Source organism: Homo sapiens, chromosome 11 (genome assembly GCF_000001405.40).
Source record: "Homo sapiens chromosome 11, GRCh38.p14 Primary Assembly".
In the NCBI taxonomy this organism is placed as follows: Eukaryota; Metazoa; Chordata; class Mammalia; order Primates; family Hominidae; genus Homo; species Homo sapiens.
Window position 1 is genome coordinate 88,774,046 of NC_000011.10, and position 21,555 is coordinate 88,795,600.

The window sequence follows — 21,555 nt, forward strand, 5'->3', positions numbered from 1 at the left end:
ATGGCAATTTTCACAATATTGATTTTTCCTATCCATGAGCATGGAAAGTTTCTCCATTTGTTCATGTCCTCTTTTATTTCATTGAGCAGTGGTTTGTAGTTTTCCTTGAGGAGGTCCTTCACATCCCTTGTAAGTTGGATTCCTAGGCATTTTATTCCCTTTGTAGCAACTGTGAATGGGAGTTCACACATGATTTGGCTCTCTGTTTGTCTTCATGGTGTAGGGGAATGCTGTGATTTTTGCACATTGATTTTGTATCCTGAGACTTTGCTGAAGTTGCTTATCAGCTTAAGGAGATTTTGGGCTGAGACAATAGGGTTTTCTAAACATACAATCATGTCATCTGCAAACAGGAACAATTTGACTTCCTCATTTCCTAATTGAATACCCTTTATTTCTTTCTCTTGCCTGATTGCCCTGGCCAGAACTTCCAACACCATGCTGAATAGGAGTGGTGAGAGAGGGCATCCCTGTCTTATGTCGGTTTTCAAAGGGAATGCTTACAGTTTTTGCTCATTCAGTATGACATTGGCTGTGGGTTTGTCATAAATAGCTCTTATTATTTTGAGATACGTTCCATCAATACCTAGTTTACTGAGAGTTTTTAGCCTGAAGGGCTGTTGAATTTTGATGAAGGTCTTTTCTGCATCTATTGAGATAATCATGTGGTTTTTGTCCTTGGTTCTGTTCATGTGATGGATTAGGTTTATTGCGTATGTTGAAGCAGCCTTGCATCTCAGGGATGAAGCCAACTTGATCGTGGTGGATAAGCTTTTTGATGTGCTGCTGGATTCAGTTTGCCAGTATTTTATTGAGGATTTTTGCATTGATGTTCATCAGGGATATTGGTCTAAAATTCTCTTTTGTTGTTGTGTCTCTGCCAGGCTTTGGTATCAGGATGATGCTGGCCTCATAAAATGAGTTAGTTAGGGAGGATTCCCTCTTTTTCTATTGATTGGAATAGTTTCAGAAGGAATGGTACCAGCTCCTCATTGTAGAATTCGGCTGTGAATCCTTCTGGTCCTGGACTTTTTTTGGTTGGTAGGCTATTCATTATTGCCTCAATTTCTGAGCCTGTTATTGGTCTATTCAGAGATTCAACTTCTTCCTGGTTTAGTCTTGGGAGCGTGTATGCGTCCAGGAATTTATCCATTTCTTCTAGATTTTCTAGTTTATTTGCATAGAGGGGTTTATAGTATTCTCTGATGGTAGTTTGTATTTCTGTGGGATCAGTGGTGATATCCCCTTTATCATTTTTTATTGCATCTATTTGATTCTTCTCTTTTCTCCTTTACTTGTCTTCCTAGCAGTCTATCAATTTTGTTGATCTTTTCAAAAAACCGGCTCCTGCATTCATTGATTTTTTGAAGGGTTTTTTTGCGTGTCTATCTCCTTCAGTTCTGCTCTGATCTTAGTTATTTCTTGCCTTCTGCTAGCTTTTGAATGTGTTTGCTCTTGCTTCTCTAGTTCTTTTAATTGTGATGTTAGGGTGTCAATTTTAGATCTTTCCTGCTTTCTCTTGTGGGCATTTAGTGCTATAAATTTCCCTCTACATACTGCATTAAATGTGTCCCAGAGATTCTGGTATGTTGTGTCTTTGTTCTCATTGGTTTCAAAGAACATCTTTATTTTTGCCTTCATTTCGTTATTTACCCAGTAGTCATTCAGGAGCAAGTTGTTCAGTTTCCATGTAGTTGAGCAGTTTTGAGTGAGTTTATTAATCCTGAGTACTAATTTGATTGCACTGTGGTCTGAGAGACAGTTTGTTGTGATTTCTGCTTTTTTACATTTGCTGAGGAGTGATTTACTTCCAATTATGTGGTCAATCTTAGAATAAGTGCAATGTGTTGCTGAGAAGACTGTGTATTCAGTTGATTTCGGGTAGAGAGTTCTGTAGATGTCTATTAGGTCTGCTTGTTTCAGAGCTGAGTTCAGGTCCTGGATATCCTTGTTAACCTTCTGTCTTGTTGATCTGTCTAATATTGACAGTGGGGTGTTAAAGTCTCCCATTATCATTGTGTGGGAGTCTAAGTCTCTTTCTAGGTCTCTAAGGACTTGCTTTATGAATCTGGGTGCTCCTGTATTGGGTGCATATATATTTAGGATAGTTAGCTCTTCTTGTTGAATTGATCCCTTTACCATTATGTAATGGCCTTCTTTGTCTCCTTTGATCTTTGTGGGTTTAAAGTCTGTTTTATCATAGAATAGGATTGCAACCCCTGTTTTTTTTGCTTTCCATTTGTTTGGTAGATCTTCCTCCATCCCTTTATTTTGAGCCTGTGTGTGTCTTTGCATGTGAGATGGGTCTCCTGCCTACAGCACACTGATGGGTCTTGACTCTATCCAATTTGACAGTCTGTATCTTTTAATTGGGGCATTTAGACCATTTACATTTAAGGTTAATATTGTTATATGTGAATTTGGTCTGGTCATTATGATGCTAGCTGGTTTATTTTGCCCATTAATTGATGCAGTTTCTTCATAGCATCGATGGTCTTTACAATTTGGCACATTTTTGCAGTGGCTTGTACTGGTTGTTTCTTTCCATGTTTAGTGCTTCCTGCGGGAGCTCTTGTAACGCAGGCCTGGTGGTGACAATATCTCTCAGCATTTGCTTCTCTGTAGAGGATTTTATTTCTCCTTCACTTATGAAGCTTAGTTTGGCTGGATATTAAATTCCGGGTTGAAAATTCTTTTCTTTAAGAATGTTGAATATTGGCCCCCACTCTCTTCTGGCTTGTAGGGTTTCTGCTGAGAGATCTGCTGTTAGTCTGATGGGCTTCCCTTTGTGGGTAACTTGACCTTTCTCTCTGTCTGCCCTTAACACTTTTTCCTTCATTTCAACCTTGGCAAATCTGACAATTATGTGTCTTGGGGTTGCTCTTCTTGAGGAGAATATTTGTGGTGTTCTCTGTATTTCTTGAATTTGAATGTTGTCCTGCCTTGCTAGGTTGGGGAAGTTCTCCTGGATAATATCCTGAAGAGTGTTTTCCAACTTGGTTCCATTCTCCCCCTCACTTTCAGGTACACCAATCAAACGTAGATTTGGTCTTTTCACATAGTCCCATAGTTCTTGGAGGCTTTGTTCATTTCTTTTTACTCCTTCTCTAACCTTGTCTTCTCGCTTTATTTCATTAATTTGATCTTCAATCATTGATACCGTTTCTTCCACCTGATTGAATCAGCTATTGAAGCTTATGCATGCATCACGTAGTTCTCATGCCATGGTTTCCAGCTCCATCAGGTCATTTAAGGTCTTCTCTATGCTGTTTATTCTAGCTAGCCATTCATCTTATCTTTTTTCAAGGTTTTTAGCTTCCTTGCAGTGGGTTCAGCATCCTTCTTTAGCTTGGAGAAATTTGTTATTACCAACCTTCTGCAGCCTACTTCTGTCAAATCGTCAAAGTCATTCTATGTCCAGCTTTGTTCCATTGCTGGCAAGGAGCTGCAATCCTTTGGAGAAGGGGCACTCTGATTTTTAGAATTTTCAGCTTTTCTGCTCCAGTTTCTCCCCATCTTTGTGGTTTTATCTACCTTTGGTCTTTGATGTTGGTGACCTACAGATGGGGTTTGGTGTAGATTACCTTTTTGTTGATGTTGATGCTATTTCTTTGTGTTTGTTAGTTTTCCTTCTAACAGTCAGGTCCCTCAGCTGCAGGTCAGTTGGAGTTTGCTGGAGTTTCACTCCATACCCCATTTGCCTGGGTATCACCAGTGGAGGCTGCAGAACAGAGAATATTGCAGAACAGCAAATATTGCTGCCTGATCCTTCCTCTGGAAGCTTCGTTTCAGAGGAGCAGCCACCTATATGAGGTACCTGTCGGCCCCTACTTGGAGATATCTCCCAGTTAGGCTACACAGGGGTCAGGGACCCACTTAAGGAGGCAGTCTGTCCATTCTCAGAGCTCAAATGCCATGCTAGGAGAACACCGCTCTCTTCAGAGCTGTCAGACAGGGACGTTTAAGTCTGCAGAAATTGTCTGCTGCCTTTTGTTCAGCTATGCCCTGCCCACCGAGATGGAGTCTAGAGGCAGTAGGCCTTGTTGACCTGTGATGGGCTCCGCCCATTTGGAGCTTCCTTGGCCACTCTGTTTACCTACTCAAGCCTCATCAATGGCGACACCCCTCCCCCAGCCAGGCTACAGCCTGGCAGAGTGATCTCAGACTGATGTGCTAGCAGGGAGCAAGGCTCCATGGGCGTGCGACCTGCTTAGCCAGGCATGGGAGAGAATCACCTTGTCTGCCGGTTGTTAAGACCTTGGGAAAAGCACAGTATTTTGGCAGGAGTGTCCCGTTTTTCCACATAGTCTGTCACGGCTTCCCTTTGCTAGGAAAGGGAAATCCCCCAACCCCTTGCGCTTCCCAGGTGAGGTGATGCCCCACCCTGCTTTGGCTCACCCTCTGTGGGCTGCACCCACTGTCCAACCAGTCCCAGTGAGATCAACCAGGCACTTCAGTTGGAAATGCAGAAATCACCCGTCTTCTGCATCGATCACATTAGGAGATGCAGACTGGAGCTGTTCCTATTTGGCCATCTTGGAATGCCCACTGCTCTTCATTTTTATGTTGTTATTAAAATACTTAAAACTATGAATTGGCTTATATTTGAGTCCTCTCACACTATAGTTTTATTAGACAACATTGGTCTAGTCTAAGTTGCTTTTTATGTAAAGAAAGAACCTATGGCCCAGAGAACTTATGATCAGTGCCAGGTCCTGTCTTTAAGTGATCTGGATATTTTTAAACAAAAATGTTTCTCTATTTAACTGGGGAGAAGAGTTTTTTCAAGTTATCTATCACTAAGAAAATTTTCACTTAGGCTTCATGAAGTTCAAATACATTTTACATAACATTTTCACTGTTTTCTACTCAAGGAAGATCTTGGCCTACTGCCCTTCTGGGTTAAATAAAATGAGCTACCATTTATTGAGTGCTTATGCCATGTAGACCAGTGCTGCAATTTGTATAATAAATAGCTTACATAATTTATTATTGAGTTTAATTCTCACAAAAATCTTTTATAGATGAAGAACCTGATGCTCAGAGAGCAATTTGCTTAAGCAACCACATTAATCAGAATGTGGTAAACATAGTATTTAAATGGGGTTCTTGTTCTAAAGCTTGTGTTCTCTCCACTGTTCTCAACTGCTTCTGAACACATGAAGTTATTTGTGTAAGCTGCTACAGCTGTCAATAGGAACCCTGTAAGGATTATTTAGCCTTTCACAGCTGTTTGGGATTAGTAAGAAGTTGATATTCCTTCAATTCTTCATCTGGCAGAACCTAGCATGGTAATATTTGCTCTAAAGAAAATAAGAATCTCTCATATTTTTTTCCTCTGGTGCCTGGAATACATCAGACTCCGCTGGGTTTAGAGGATCATACTGCAACAGAAGTTAAGGAGGAAGGAGCACCGTCGAGTCTAGATAAGTGCTCAGTTTTCCTGCTGTTTAGCAAACCCCCAATTATCTGAAAATTTCAATAACAGAATTTTTTTCTGTGCTCTTTCAGAAACAAGAGGAAATGACATCAAAGTTTTCTAATTTCAGAATTAAAGAAATTAATATACTCACACACACACCCTCATACCCACCCACGCACAGAGCTATACAGGAGATTCATCACCCTTGGAGCTGCTGCTCCTCCTCCTAAGTTCTATATTGCAGCTAAAATTTTTCCTTATTTGGATTCTTAGTCACCGAAAAGCAAACACCAGAAATCATCTGATTCAAATGATCCATTTTCACCTCGTACATCAACACTGTTGCTAAGGTCGGTGAATTCCAACTCCATGATGTTTCTTGCATCCTTCCCTTGTTCTTTGTCATGGCAACTGCCCTAGTCACTGGTCCCATTCCTTTTTCCTGGATTAGTGCCCCATCTCCCTCTTGTTCACTATGTTCCAGTCATTTTGTTTTTCTTTAATCTCCTCAGAATCCAGAGCTATGCCCTGTGCCTGGAATGTTCTCCCCATGCCCTCTTTGGCTAAGTCTGACTAATTTTTCAGATCTCAACTCTTCTGCAGAATCCCTTCCTGACCTGCACAGATGAGGGAGGTCTTCTTTTAATAGGCTCTCATGGTATCCTGTTTTCCTTGTGGCACTTACAATGATAACAATTAATTGTACAATCATATCCTTAATAGCTGTCTTCCCTGCTGGAATGCCCTTAAATATTATGCTGGGCTGCTTTATACTACACTGTGCTGCTTTTTTCTAATAAACAATTTCCTGTATTACTTCCATTGGGGCATCTTTGAAAATTTCTAAAATATTTATAAATGCAACAAGTGCTTATTCATTTATTTCTAACTCCCATTATAGATGGTTGAGAACATGAGTTTATAGTCATGACTTAACACTCCTCTTCTTAGCCTCCCTATATAAGGCTGATCAAGCTGCCGTTACGTTTTATGATGTTGGGAGAGTACCTTAGCTTGTGGGTGAGTCAATCTTCTCAACTGAAAAATGGGGATAATAATAGTACTGAACACTTCAGAGCTTTACAGATAAAAGTAAATCAGGTAATATTCAGATGAAAGTTAATTCAGATAATATATTTGAGGGTACAAACAAAATGTCCATGAAAGTTGGCAAGTATTAATTTACATTTCAGGGGTATCTGTATATTTATTTATTCATTATTTTTATTAAAAAATGTTGTAAAGATGGGGGTCTCACTATGTTGCCCAGGCTGGTCTCAAACTTCTGGCCCCCTACATCAGCCTCCCAAAGTGCTGGAATTACAGTCACGAGCCACCATGCCAGACCCTGTATATTTTTCCTATTGAAAAAGTGTTCAGTATAACTTCTCAGAAGCAAATTCCAATTACCAAGGGGAACAGCTCTCAAGTGTGAGACAAATTTGCATCCTCCTTTGATCTATTCATACATTTCATTTCTGTAGTCATTAAACATGGCTTTTTTTTTCCACTAAGAAATCTTTAAACTTATTGAAAATAACCTCAGGCTGATCCTAGTCTTTCTTAGTAACTGTACATATGGCATATAGAGCTGGAAAAACACATAAATTAGACAATAGAGAAGCAACCAAGCTGTGTTTTATATATATACATATATATGTATATATATATATATATATATGTATATATTTGGTGTATCCTTTTGTGCAGAGGCTTATTTTGAAGAGCATGTGGGAGAGGAAGTGTTTAAGAAAATAAGAATGAAGGGAAAGAGAAAATTCAACATCTGTAAGACGCATGTATGTGATTATCATAACTGGGCATGTCTGACTCTAAAGAGTATTAAAATATGCTCTGAGAATCAGCAGCAAAGAACTGGAAACACTACATAAATGGAGATGGACCTCACAAGATACATTCAAGCATCCTAATTATACAGGTACACATCTTTCATTTGTTCAAAGATATATTCAGGACCCAAACTACTGTATTCAGACCTCTATGCCCATATTTATGTCTGGATGTACACTTAAAGGAGGCAAAGGCACGGTGCAGTACTTTGCTCAGAATTTCCAGGCAGGCTGATTGTCCTGGCTATGATTCCAGTCATCATAAATACATTTGATTCTCACAAATGGTTCCCTGGTTGCATCCAGCAGGTCCATTTGTAAGGCAAGTAGTTAGCTTGTTCTGCTGCTCTGTGACTTTTTGAAGAGTTCCTGCATTCCTGCTAAGCATGAACAAAGCAGGAAGACATTAATGTGCTGACCACAATCTCCTCTGGCCACCTCAGGGAAACTAGCATCATGGATTAAATCATTTCTTTGCTAAATGACACCTGTTGAAACTGACAAGCCAACAAAGCTGAGATCCCATGCTGAGCAGAAGAATTACAAGCAATGGGGCTGCCCACAGCATTGCTGCATGACAGTGGGTGACTGAGAATCACATTAACACAGTAGTGAATTCACACACTTGATTTCCAAGCATTCCTCACATGCTATCCTTCTTGGGTGTAAATTTTGCATTTATTCATTGAAAAGTATTGTGATTCATAAAATTATAATTTTTATTATAATTTGGATTCTCTACAGACTTTGTTACTGTATTGCATGGTATTTATTAATATGTATATTATTAAATCTAATTTTTTTACAAAAGCTTTTAAAACATGAATTTCTAATAAGAAAATGACAATTCTTCTAGAAGTAGCAGTGATAATAATAACAATAATAATAATAATTGCTGTATTAGTCTGTTTTCACACTGCTGATAAAGATGTACTTGAGACTGGGCAATTTACAAAAGAAATAGGTGTAATGGACTTACAGTTCCACGTGTCTAGGGAAGCCTCACAATAATGGCAGAAAGCAAGGAGGAGCAAGTCACATCTTACATGGGTGACAGCAGGCGAAAAGAGAGCTTGTGCAGGGAAACTCCCATTTTTAAAACCATCAGATCCCATAAGACTTATTCACTGTCACAAGAAAAGCATAGCAAAGACCTGCCCTTGTGATTCAATCACCTCCCACGGGGTCCCTTCCACAACACATGGGAATTCATGATGAGATTTGGGTGGGGACACAGTCAAACCATATCAATGGGTAACTTTTACTAATTGCATATTTTTTTGACATAAACTTCCATATCACCTTATATATATTGGCTTATTTAAGATTGTCCCTGTTATAAATGAAGCTTTAAGTCTCTGTTCTTTGAAAATTGGAAAGCTTTAGGTTTCACCATGTTATGGAAGAAAAATTGTCTCTGTGAATATAATTCCCAAATAATTAAAATATCAATTCACATGGTCCAAAGCTGACGGGTTGTTGTTCTGGCAGGTTTCAGAGGAAACATCAATAGTGATAATGGCTGAACTCATTCATGGACCACTCACTATATATGCCAAGCCGAGTGCTAAGCCCTTCACAGATATTATTTACTTTTATCCCGGCAACAAATGTATTAGTTAAAAATTAATATTGTTTCCTTCTGACAGATGACAATTGAAGTTTGGAGATTAAGCTATTTGCTAAGGATCACCATGCTAGATTGTGGCAAAACTAGATCCAGAACTAAAGTCCGCCTGACTTAAAGGCTGGACTCTACATTACTGTGCTAACTGGTGGTATTTAAATCAATTATTTCCTAAACATTTTGTTTGTGTCTACACTTTTAAAAGGGAGAGAAAACATTTTCCCATAATCTTAGGGGTTTAACTATCCCCTCTTACAGTAATTTTGGGACATCTTCAAATCAAACTCAACATAAAGGACTTGTGTTCAAATGATTTATGAATTATAGTCAGACCTGAATCTTTAGAATCCTGTAAACAATCAAACACTAAATTTTGGGTATCTTCCTCACTGTCCATATACATTATCATTGAACTTCTGTGAAATAATATTTTATCACTCTAGATGTTATTTATCACATACAAGATGGCTATTTAAAATTTTACAGGCACTAGCACACTAAAAAGAAACAAATAATAATGCAGGTAGGTAGGTGTGTCAGAGCTGTAATTGGAATAAATGCAACGACAAGGGAAACAATAGAAGCAAATGTCATAGTTTGAGCAGCAACCATATTGTATAGTTAGGTCTATTAAACAATAACCATGATTTTCCAAGAGTTTCACTTTTAATTCAAATGTTTTGTTTTCTCCCTCTCTCTCTCTGGAAAATGAAGGCAACTCTACCCATACTCATCTTGGATGCTAGAACATCCATGTGACTGAGGCACAGATGATATATGAATGACTCAAAAGGGCACTTCTGTGTCTTACTTTTTTGTATGCACTTAGAAAACATCTTAGCATTAGTTCTCTTATGAAAATGAATGAAAATACCTACTTTTCAGGGTTTTAGGAGGATTATATAGGTTAGTACCTGCAAAGCATCTATACACTGGCACATAGGAAACATTCCATCTTTTGATCCCATAAATCTGCTAGCAGTGAGTCCTTCTGTACAAAGAAGAAAAAATAATTCCCCATTATCAGTGGAGTACTGATGACAGCCTCATACCAGCTTATAGGAGCCGATTACATTAATTTCTTCCCAGCTTCTAATGATGCTAAAAATTAAGCTCAATTTTTATACATTTACCACTATACCACCATGGCCATAATTTATCTTCCATATTCTGTCCTCTAGGAAATCTTTTAGTAGCAGGTAGGTTAGAAAATAACTACTGGAAATAAAACAAGCATGTATCTTGTTTGTGTTAGGCAGCAGCCTCATATTCTGCTGAGATGTCAAAGACAATGCAATGTGACCTAATTATATACTGATCCATTAGATGAGATTTTCAATATCTTAGAGTGAAAATCTGCTAGTTCAGAAATACCAGTAGGAAGCACACTTTTCCTATTCTCCACTTATGTGCCCACCATAGGAATAACTGATCAATACACTCTTCTCACTGAGTTTACACATACTTCTGTGCCACATATTACACTAAGTGCTTTGAATACAAATCATATTTAATCATGCAAGTAATTTTCTTTGATAAGTATCACCCACCACTTAATATAAAGGAATAAAATAAGGCTCACAAGGCTAAGTAAAGGACCTGATGTTGAAGAGCTGTGTTAGAGATTGACTGGCTAGAACACAGACTGCAAAGCCTGTGTTCTTCATCGGTGTATTCTATCCCTTCCCATTCTATTGAATAAATACTGTGTTGTAATGGGTAGAAATTATTCATTTTATAAATGAAGGTAACTGAGGGATTAGGAAATGAAGGCTTTTAAAACATGATTCCATAAATGCAGGATTTCATTTCTCCCTATAGAATTACAAAATAAAAGCAAGTCCATAAACCCGATTAGCAGATACAGGGCTGCCCGTCTTTGGGAATGTTAATCTCTGGTCACATGTTGCAAATGTTTAACTGTTCTATCCATCACATAATCTCTTCTTGTAAATTTATCATGAAATATATTTACAGCTCTCTATATGACATATAAATCATAGACTAAGAGCTGAATTTAGCCAACATTTTGAAATCATTCCCAAGAGATGTTGCGGTATAAAATTTTATATTCAGTTTAGCACACTATGTTAACGAACACACTAAAACCGCAGGACATTTCAATTACTAGAATTAAACAGACCTCTTAAAGTATTCCAAATGTATTCTGCAGAGGCTTGTCAGTGGAGGTGGAGTGTATGGGATTATCTTTCTATCTCAACTGAAATGATCCCACAGTAAGCGTTTGGTTACTTAGTAACATTAAAATTGCAGTTAAGTTCCCTTACAATTAGTGGCCTTCAAATAAATAGTTTTGAGAACTAATTACATACTTTGGCAGAATTTCATTCTTTCTGTTTTGGTAGTTATTCTGGTAAATTTCTAAATGTAGTGGGCATGATCTTCCTCTCCAAATGCTTTTTTACGTTTTAAAGAAGAAAGGCTAGTTTGTACTGAAACTTGATTTGGAGATGAATAGATCAAGAAGAAATGGACGTAAGTTGTTCAAAGAATAAATTGAAAAAGATGAAATAAAGATTTTTGTCCCATTACTTATGACCTCAAAACATCTATAGTTAAAATAATTAGGCAGATGAACAATCATATCTAAGAATATTTGTGTACTTACGATGTTAAAAACATGATAGAAGATGATGTATTATCCTCGGAGACACAACATCATGCAGTCAAAGCATTCAGTTCTTTGGCCTAGTTAGTCATTTCTACTACAGGTATTTGCAAATTTTAGGAAAACTCTGTTGTGACTGATGAAGTGAAGCCTCAAATTTTTATTGAACATTCTATAATTAAAGAAGTTAAGAAAGAGTATCCATATGTTACCATTTTTGACATGGTTAGCAACAATAGTAGTGACTATGCACCATTTATCTTCAGGCAGGGTGGAAAGTAAACTACTGGAAAGAAAACAAGCTGATACTTGATGTGTAAGAGCACTTTCCTGCTTTGCTCAGGTTCCAAAGACAATAAATGTTACCTATTCATATATTGACACATTAGATAGGATGCCCATTCACTTAGTGTAAAAATCTGCTAGTTCAGAACTACCAAGGGGAAGCATACATTTTCTGTTCTCTGCTTTTATACTCATGTGTCCAAGAGATATCAAATATTTGTCATACACTGTGCCAGGTACATGAATATGACATGGTCCCTAGTACAAAGAGAATTGTGATCTGAGAAATAGATGATAAACATACAACATAGTGAAATGGAACTATCCATAAGACGTAGCAGCAGGTGATGGAGGTAACACTGGGCATGTGTTCTGAATGTGAATAGGAATTTGATAGGTAAGAGTCATTTCATCTCAGCTATAATTTTCTCCAATAAGTCATTGTTGACATTGCTCCCTTGCACCACCCAGAATGAATTTGAGGTGGTACCTCTGAGCTCAAAGAATTCTTAATGCATTGCTTTGCCATGACTTGATATAATTAGCTAACATCACAAATCCTCTGAAAGCTTCCAAAAGCCAAAGTGCTTATAGTTCTTACATTAACCAATCTACTCTCTTTAGCTTTTTGAACTCATCTCTTTCAACTCATCTCAGCCAACTAGACTCTTTGCTACTTGCGCAATGTGTGGAACATGTTCTACTTCTGAGCTTTTGTTCTTGCTGTGCCCTCAACCTGGAGAGCTCTTTCCATAGGTACCAACATGGCTCCCCCTGCCCCATCTTTAAGTCTTCTCACATATCATCTTCTCATTAAGGACATTCCTGACTACCTTATTTTAAAACATCATTCCCACAGACACTTTTTTGATGCCCCTTTCCTGCTTTATTTATTTTTTTACGTTACATACCTTTCTGTGTCTATTATCTATCCCCTTTCCTCGCTCCACTTAAATATGAGCTTCATGAAGACAGGGGCTTCTGTTCGTTTTGCTAATTGCTGGACTCTGGGACAAGAAGAGCTTCTGGCACATAAGAGGCAATCTATAAATGTTTGTAGAATGATTTAAAACTGAAATAATGTATGTATTATTCAGAATACACAGTAAGTTTTTATAATGTTTCAGATGCCCTTTGAAGATGGCTGTTAGGTGGAAAAGACTGACAGTATACAAGTAAATAAGTAAATAAAATGTACTAATTACAGATTGTAGTTAATAGAATGAACAAAACAAGCAGATATCTTTATTTAAAAATATGATATATGATATGATGTGTGTGTGTGTGTGTGTGTGTGTGTGTGTGTGTGTGTGTGTCTTTTAAACCAGGACAATCAGAAAATGCCCCTCTGAAGAGATAAGCTGAGATCCGACATCCAAGCATCACTCATTTATAGAGTTGGTGAGCAGAGGTCAGTACTATTCAAAGCAGAGGATGGAGTAACTGTTAAAAAATATCCAGGGCAGGAAAGAAATGAAATTTTTTTATATCACAAAAATTAAAAAGGAGAGGATGTGGAAGACAGTGGAATGAGCAAGGGTTATTGGTGGAGGCCACACCATACAAGGTTGTAGGAGACATGATAAGGCATTTGGATTTATTTGAAGAGTTTTTGGAAAGTATCAAATGATTTTAATTGGGGAAATGGCATGATTTCCTATAGATTTTAAAGAGTCTTCTCTTTTAAAGATCCTGTGTAGTGCGTGAATAGGACTGTGACAAGAATGGAACTGGAATAATAGGAGGCTCTTATAGCCATCCAGGTGAGATCCCATGATTTGGGTTAAGAATATTAATGATGGTGATGCATGGATATGTTTAAGATTGACTTTAAGGATAGATCATTAGGTGTTGGATTGCATTTAGGAGGTAAAGAAAAGAGAGAGAGGAAAAACAAGTCTTCATTTTCTGGCTTTGGTAATAAAATAATATCATTTATTGAGATAGGGAATGTAGGGAAATGAATGGGGAAAAAGGGATAAAAAAGGGATAGAAATTTGGTTTCTTTCTGGATATGTTAAGTTTGAAAGGCTTATGTGATATCCAAGTGGAGATGTCACGTAGGCAGGTCAATACATAGGCTAGATCTATGCCTGTCTTCATCATTATACAATGAATTTCCCAAGGGAAGATATTTTACTGTATTCGTCCCTAGGTCAGCAGTTGGCAAAATGGTTGTTTTATAAATGTTGCCCTGAAAGACTACTCTCTTTATATCCTGCTGGGCTTACCAGCTAGACACACTGGGCACTCTAGCTTTGGGAGGAACATCTCCTTATTCTTCTTTGCTCCTTAGATCAGAACAGGCCATTGCATATAAATTGTTAGCTCCAGAATAACTTTTCAAAAATATTTTACTTCATTTTGAAAATAGACCTGACAAACCCTTTGGATATAACACAATAAGCTAGGTGGTGTATTTTTAGAAGAAACAAAGCAGATCAATCATAATAGTAATATTGTAAGAGGAAATATGAAAAATTTTAGACTCAGGGATCCTGAGAGGGATTGGAAAACAGCGGGAATAAAGTCAAAGGAAGCCATGGGCCATGTGAGGTGTTAAAGCACATGGAAAAAAATGGGATGGTAGGAAGAATTTTTATGAACAAGCAGATCATATTGTTATCCAATAATTCCATTTACCAAAAGTATTGAAATTATCATTTTATATTTTATTCCACAGGGTATATATTTCACATGACATCTCTTCTAATTGAGAACAGAAACATAGTCCAACTTGGCTCTAAAAGTTGTAAGGATATATTACTAAAAATATGTTAAAATATTTGAGATATTTAGAAATGTGACTATCTGATGGAAGTAGATTAAAACATAAATGCTTCTTAATTTCCAATTCTGTTTAAAGAAACTATGCTGTTTTCAAAATTCTGTCAGTTGCTAGGGAAACTAGAAAGGGGGCTATTAAATTGTATATGGAAAGCTATTTTCCAAAATACATTAAGTGGAAGATGTGAGTAGTTAGATAAAACTTTTCATAGGCAAGAAAACGTGTGAAATCCTAGGTGAAGGATGAACGCCTCCTCAATTGACAGTTTGATAGAGATTCTGTGCCTCCTTTACCATGAACCATTGTTATTTTAGAGGGCAGCAATGTTCTCATTGTCCTCTTGGGGAATGTATTCTTAAGGAAGGTGAGTAATCCTGGAAGAAAAGCTAAGATCTTTTTGGACCAATAATGTTAATATAGTTACAGGAAAGATCACTAGGCTAAAAATTAGGAGAATCGTGTTCTAAACCAGACCCAGATATGAACTTAGGAAAGCTAGTTCTTCCCTGGTCTCCAATTCCAGCATCTGGATATGAGTGAAATAATTGTTAGAGTTCCTTTTGCCTATAATCATTTAATCTGTGAGTGACAGGTGAATGGCAATCCACAAAGTAGAGGATAATACCTTTAACAAGAAGGAAATTGTGGGTGATGAGATCAATTGTCAAGGTCTGGAGGCCAAGTTCCATTTAAATAACATAAAAGCAAAGAAAAAAAAGAAAAAAGAAAAAAAGAAAGAGAAGAAAACTTTAAGTGAAAATTTAAGAATGAATTATTTCGGTAAGGCTTATCTGTAAGTTAATGTACCTGCTAATATATAATGATTTTCATTTTTGTTATAAATTGAACATTTTTTGTTCAAGTACACTGTATTTAGCCATTTTTGATATTTTTAATACTCAGAGAATTTATAAACATTCCTAAAATCCTTTTATGAACCTTATCTTTTAGAATGATAGAAGTCTCTTGATTATTCCCTTGTGGTACCATATTAAAAATGCAAAGGAAATTTTCTAACTCCTCAAACCACACACCAGTGGCATTCCAAAGCCTACAGAATAGCTAGTGAATATGAAGTTAACCAGTCCAAATGACCTTTCCTTCCACTTATTCTTACGGTAAATTATATGCTGTACCAATATTAATGTACTTGCAGCTTCCTAAAATTCAACAAATATTTATTGAACATCTACAATGTACAAGGCAAATTTTTTTTTTCTTTTTTTGATATGGAGTCCCACTCTGTTGCCCAGGCTGGAGGGCAGTGGCGCAATCTTAGCTCACTGCAACCTCTGCCTCCCGGGTTCAAGCAGTTTTCCTGCCTCAGTCTCCCAAGTAGCTGGCAGCTGGGAGATTACAGGCATGCAACACCACGCCTGGCAAATTTTTGTATTTTTAATAGAGATGGGATTTTGCCATGTTGGCCAGGCTGGCCTTCAATTCCTGACTTCAGATGATCCACCCTCCTCAGCCTCCCAAAGTGCTGGGATTACAAGCATGAACCACTGCACCTGGCTCGTACAAGCAACTTCTAAGAATTCTCCCATATCCTGTATGCTATTTTTGCTCTAAATCCATATTTTCTTCTATCTACCCATTAATTCATTCATAATGTATGAGTCATATTATTTACAAACACAGAACATCACACACTGCACAGTGTTTATCAATCTCTGTGTTTGTTTTTCCCATCAAACTTTGACTTGAGTAACATAATTCTGTCTTGCTTGTATTTGCTGAATAAGCAAATTAATTTTTAAAAACTATGCATGAATTAATTTTAAAGATACTCCATAACAGCAACTTTGGCTGGAAATATTTGTTCTATGAAAAATTTTACCATGTGAGTGTTACAACTTCAGATGAAGCAGGAAACTCTTCTTTTTTAATATATAGAATAGTACTAGGAGAGAAGGTATGATAACTAATTTAAAAAATAAATATATGAGGCTCGATGTATGTGACAGATAGATCAACTCTCAGGATAGTAGGAGAGGACAGGATGCCTAGAATGGAAGAGAAAAAGCATGAAGTACAAATCAGGAATAAGGACAAGGGGTAGGGTATCTTAGGCAACAGAGGTAATGGTTTGAAAGTAGGAAATATCACGATATACTGTAGTTTGGAAAGGTAAATCTGGAGCATTTAGGAGTAAAAATGAACACAGTAGAAGATAAGTTTAGAAAGGAAGGCAACGGCTAGCATATGATGGGCTGCAAATGCAATGACAAATAATTTGAACTTTATCTTGCAGGCAATGGGGAGCCTCTGGAAATTTATAACAGTTAGAATTAAATTTTAGAAAGATCACTGGCAGCAATGTGGAAGATGAATTGCAAGCACAGGAGAGGAAATGGAAACAGAAAATACTAGACAATTGGAATGGTAAGAAATTACAAAAGTCTGCAAACAGTGACAGTGTGAACGCAGAGGAATGAACACATAGGAAAGAAGTTAAACCAGTAGCATGAACAGGATTTATTCCTTAATTAAAATTTAGGGATAAAGTTGTAAGAGAAGATTATATCTACTCTCATTGTTTTCAAGACTTAAACCAGGAGGACAGGAGGAAGTGGCAATGGTAAGATAATGCACTGGCTGGGTTTGAGATGCTTACGAAAAATGCACTGGAAATGTCATATAAGCAGCTGAATATGCAGGTGAATACGTTAGGAGAGAATTGTGAGTTGAAAACATACATTTAGGAAAACATAAGATGCTTGAGAAGAGCAACTTTGTCTTGTTTACTCTTTATTCTCAACTCCACACATAAAGACTGAACCTTCAGCAAATGCTGAGCTGCTACTGCTAATGTTGAACTGATACTATCACCCACTTCCAACCTCCCTTGATTAGAAAACTAATAGATGCAAGTCTCCTGACACATAATAAGGATGCAATAAATGGAAATTTCATTGATAACTTGATAACTTGGACAAGGACAGCCCTTTTTGTTTCTATTATATATTCTAGAATATAAAATATGAATACATGACAAATGACCAACATTACAATATATACTGAAGTATATGGGGCAAGTGCTATTAAATAAAGGACATTTAAATTATTTTAAGATACTCTATCAATATTTTAAAAGCATACAAGTTTGTGGCATAATCAGTATTGAAATGAAATCAATTCTAAATCATGTTTGACTTCTAGTTAGAGGTTTATATTCTTTCATTTAATCAGTGTTTACCTTGTATTCTGTAAATTCATTTGGTTTTCACTGGGCTTTTATGTCATTAATTTCTTATTTAATAATTTGTAACATCCCATTTTAGCTTAGCTGAAAAAAGAGTAAAATGGATTTTATGGCATTGATCAGTGTACTACCTAGGTCAATGTAAAAGCTAGGTAGTAGAACATGTTTTGAAACCAAAGCAAGTTGGGAGAGCATGTTAGTCAGAATATGGAATCCCAGGAATAAGACTCACTCTTTAGGTTATTTCATCTCAGCACCCAATTTTATTACCAACAACCTAGTTTTTTAAAAAAATATTGTAGTGGCATTAGAAAGTTGGGCTTTACACTAAAATCAATAGCCCTGTTTTCTTAGTAGGGGCCTGAAAATATCTCATAGATATTATTGCTCTAGAAAGAGTCCATTTCATGCACAGATGAGTCTGCATGTATGAATCTTACCTGGGCAATATCAGTTATGAGGAACTTAGGACATTTATTCTATTGTTCTAATTTGGGCTATTTATAGGCCAGAATTAGCATCTTTGGTGCCCAATCTCTAAATAGAAAAAACAAAAAGCTAAACATATGTGGTAATGTGGTGACCAAGAAAACTACTCTTTTTATGGGTTTCCATTAACATACTGTGTTCAAAAAGCAAAACATGTTTATGACAGGACTCCTATTATTTCTAGTATCAAAGAAATGACAGTAACATTACAACTAGGGGATATTTCTAGAGATTGGTCTGATAAAGCTCCAGCTTACTTCTCCATTGTAAAAAAAGTTATCTTAAAGATGGGAATTTTTCTATACAACTCAATCAATATTTAGTCTGCACATATTGTGTGTCCCACCCAACATACTGAGGTATTTGGGAAGGGGTATGAAAACTATAAGACATGGTTCTGAGGTGAAATACTGCTTTTTAAATTGTCTTTTCTTAAACCAATTATTAGTGTTTTTTTAATGAAATTATACCATAACCATTTGTATTTACATACGCTTAGAATATGTGCAAGTATTATTGAAAAATATTTAAAAATTACAAAGTTTTAAACATGTAAGATGGGCCTTGTGGCCCATGTAAGATGGGCATGATCTATTTTTGATACTATTTAGAGACTATTTCTGATACTATTTAGAGTAAGACGGGCCTTGTAATATGCATCATCATGATCTATTTCTGATACTATTTAGAGTATAGCACTAGCCTTATGTTTATGATCACTATGCATTCTTATAGTTACAGATTATACCCTTCTGTTCAGACTCTTATCTCCAAATTGATGATATGTATTACAGAGCAGTTGCCACCTAACTGAATAACTCATATCAATCCTAACTGAAAGCACAACAGCACTTAAATATATAATCTAGCCCAAACTTAAACCTAAGGTAGGGATTTCTATAGGAACAAGAAAGCATATATATGAACTGTATTTTTTCATTGTTTCAATTAATTTTAACCTGTGGTATAAGCTATGTGCTTTCCAGATTTACACATATATAAAAATTTGACATATAATTCGAGAGAATTAATGGATTTTATAGTGAACATCTAAGGACTGCTAGGTATTTCTGGACCTCAGGTTTAAAAACATGGGAATAACTCATTGATGGTAGAACCGTAGTATCAATCTGGCATTTAAGATATGGTATATTTTTGCATATTCTGAGGAAGGTTCTTCTTTTTATAAGACACAGAAATAGAAATAATAGTATTGGGAAGAATTTTAATTAGATCTAAGAATAACATTCCTAATGTGGATATAAAAATTAAGATGTGTTTCTGGGATTCTCAGTAAAGCTTATATTTTATGATATAGTCATTACATAATTTTCCAGAACTATAATAGTTTCAGAACAAACCTACTGGGAGGGCCAATACGGGAGTCAGGAAGCACTCAAGAAGTTAAGTAAGAAAGAAGGATCTGAAAGAAGCAGGGATAGGTTGGGAAAGGAAACAACAGAGAAGACTGTTTTTTTTGTTTGTTCGTTTGTTTGTTTTTGTAGAGACAGGTCTTGCTCTGTCACCGTGGCTAAAGTGTAGTGGTGTGATCACAGCTCAGTGACACTTCAACCTGCTGGGCTCCTGTGGTCCTCCTGTCTCAGCCTCCTGAGTAGCTGGGACTGACTACAGGCACACACCACTATGCCTGGCTAATTTTATATACAGACAAGGATCTCTTTATGTTTCTCAGGCTGGTCTTGAATTCCTGGCCTAAAGCAATCTGCCTGCCTCAGCCTTTAGCCTCGAAAATTGCTGGGATTGAAGGTGAGAGATAATTAATATAATGGTTTGGAATCCTTAATATACCTGGAACATGCATGTTCTTAAGCATTCCCGTCCCCACTATTCTGCTTCAGGGGACCAGCATCTCTCACCTGGACTAGTGCAATAACCTCCTGAATGGTCTACCTGCCTCTAATGTTACCCCATGTTCAAGCCACTATTTGCACTAAATTAAAATGTTTCTAGTAATATGAGTTATTTCACTTTCCTCTGTAACACCATTCTGTGGACACTTTTTGTTCTTATCAATCTGAATTATTTACCATGGCTTAAAATTCCCTGGCAGATCTGTGAGAGTGTAGTCAGCCTGAAAAATTGGGTTACAGTCAGACCACATACTTTGAATAAATTATGTGTTTTTATTTTTTAAAAAAATATTCTGTTAGACATTTAGAGGATGAATCAAGGTGGAAATACTAGAGGCAAAATGATCAGTTAGAAATCTATTCCAGTTGACATGTTAGGAACATAAAGTAAGGTGAGTCCATGGGCATGGATGTGAGGAGCATCATGGAGGTAAGTTTAATGGAACTTGAAAATAAAGTATATGTATTTGATATTAAATAGCTTCAAACCTGAGCAATAAAGAAGATGATGATGAACGAGTGTTAAGGTGAAGCATCATATCCTGTTACTGGAGGGTTATTATGGTTACTTTGTCTGCTTGGATAAAGAATTAGGCCAAATAGTACATTTCATAATAAATCTTCCTCCTAGATGGGCTACACATAGCATCCAATGTTCTTCATGAGACCAGTTAGTGCAAAAAAATAGCTAAGATAGCTATGGCTGTAAAGCCCAGAGATCTCTGATATGGTGTGATTACCATCCTTCACGATCTATTACATAAGAAAGAATTTCCACTGTGTGCCTCCAATGAAAGACCAAAATGCAATAAGTAGAACTTACAGAAATTTCAGATAAGAACAAACAAGAATATTTTAACAATCAGAGCTAGAACATGTAGAAAAATGGTAGAATTCCCATTATATGAACATGAGACTATATTGAGAGGGATTGAGATCTCCACATGTAGAAGTTCTACAAATATTAGGGCATATGGAACTGAAAGGGCCTTTAATTCACAAGCGAGAAAGCAGTATCCCAGAGAGGGGCAGGCAACTTGGCCAAAGTTGTACAGCTGGTTACAGATTCTGATCCAGTTTCAGATTCACAGCCCAGTGACCTCCATGCTACATAATAGTGGCTACCCAAGGCCAAGGAGCCAGTGTTGTGACTACCTCAAAGACATCATAAAGGAAAGGCTTGAAGTGGACTATGCAGTTGGAAGAGAAGGGAAAATAAGTTGACCATGAACAAAGATACTCTACTAGGATGGATCATATACTAGGGAAGGGCAAATATAATAGTGAAAGGATTGCTTTCCATTTGAAGGTATCTGTGAAGCCATTAGAAATAACTAATTACTGTTAATAATAACAATAATACCTACAATATTGAACAGATTTTTTAAT

General features: G+C 36.8%; 1 protein-coding gene across 4 annotated transcripts in view, besides 1 other annotated feature; it reads right to left on the minus strand.

The window, feature by feature from the left end:
- The window catches only part of GRM5 (glutamate metabotropic receptor 5), a 561,341-nt gene that overhangs the window by 269,404 nt on the left and 270,382 nt on the right, over positions 1-21,555 (minus strand). The window lies entirely within an intron of this gene.
- Positions 14,607-15,108: an enhancer, noted in NCBI's record as "NANOG hESC enhancer chr11:88521820-88522321 (GRCh37/hg19 assembly coordinates)". NCBI's record gives its function as "activates a minimal SCP1, AML or CMV promoter by ChIP-STARR-seq in primed H9 embryonic stem cells {active_cell/tissue: H9 hESC(primed)}" and the evidence as "EXISTENCE:reporter gene assay evidence [ECO:0000049][PMID:30033119]".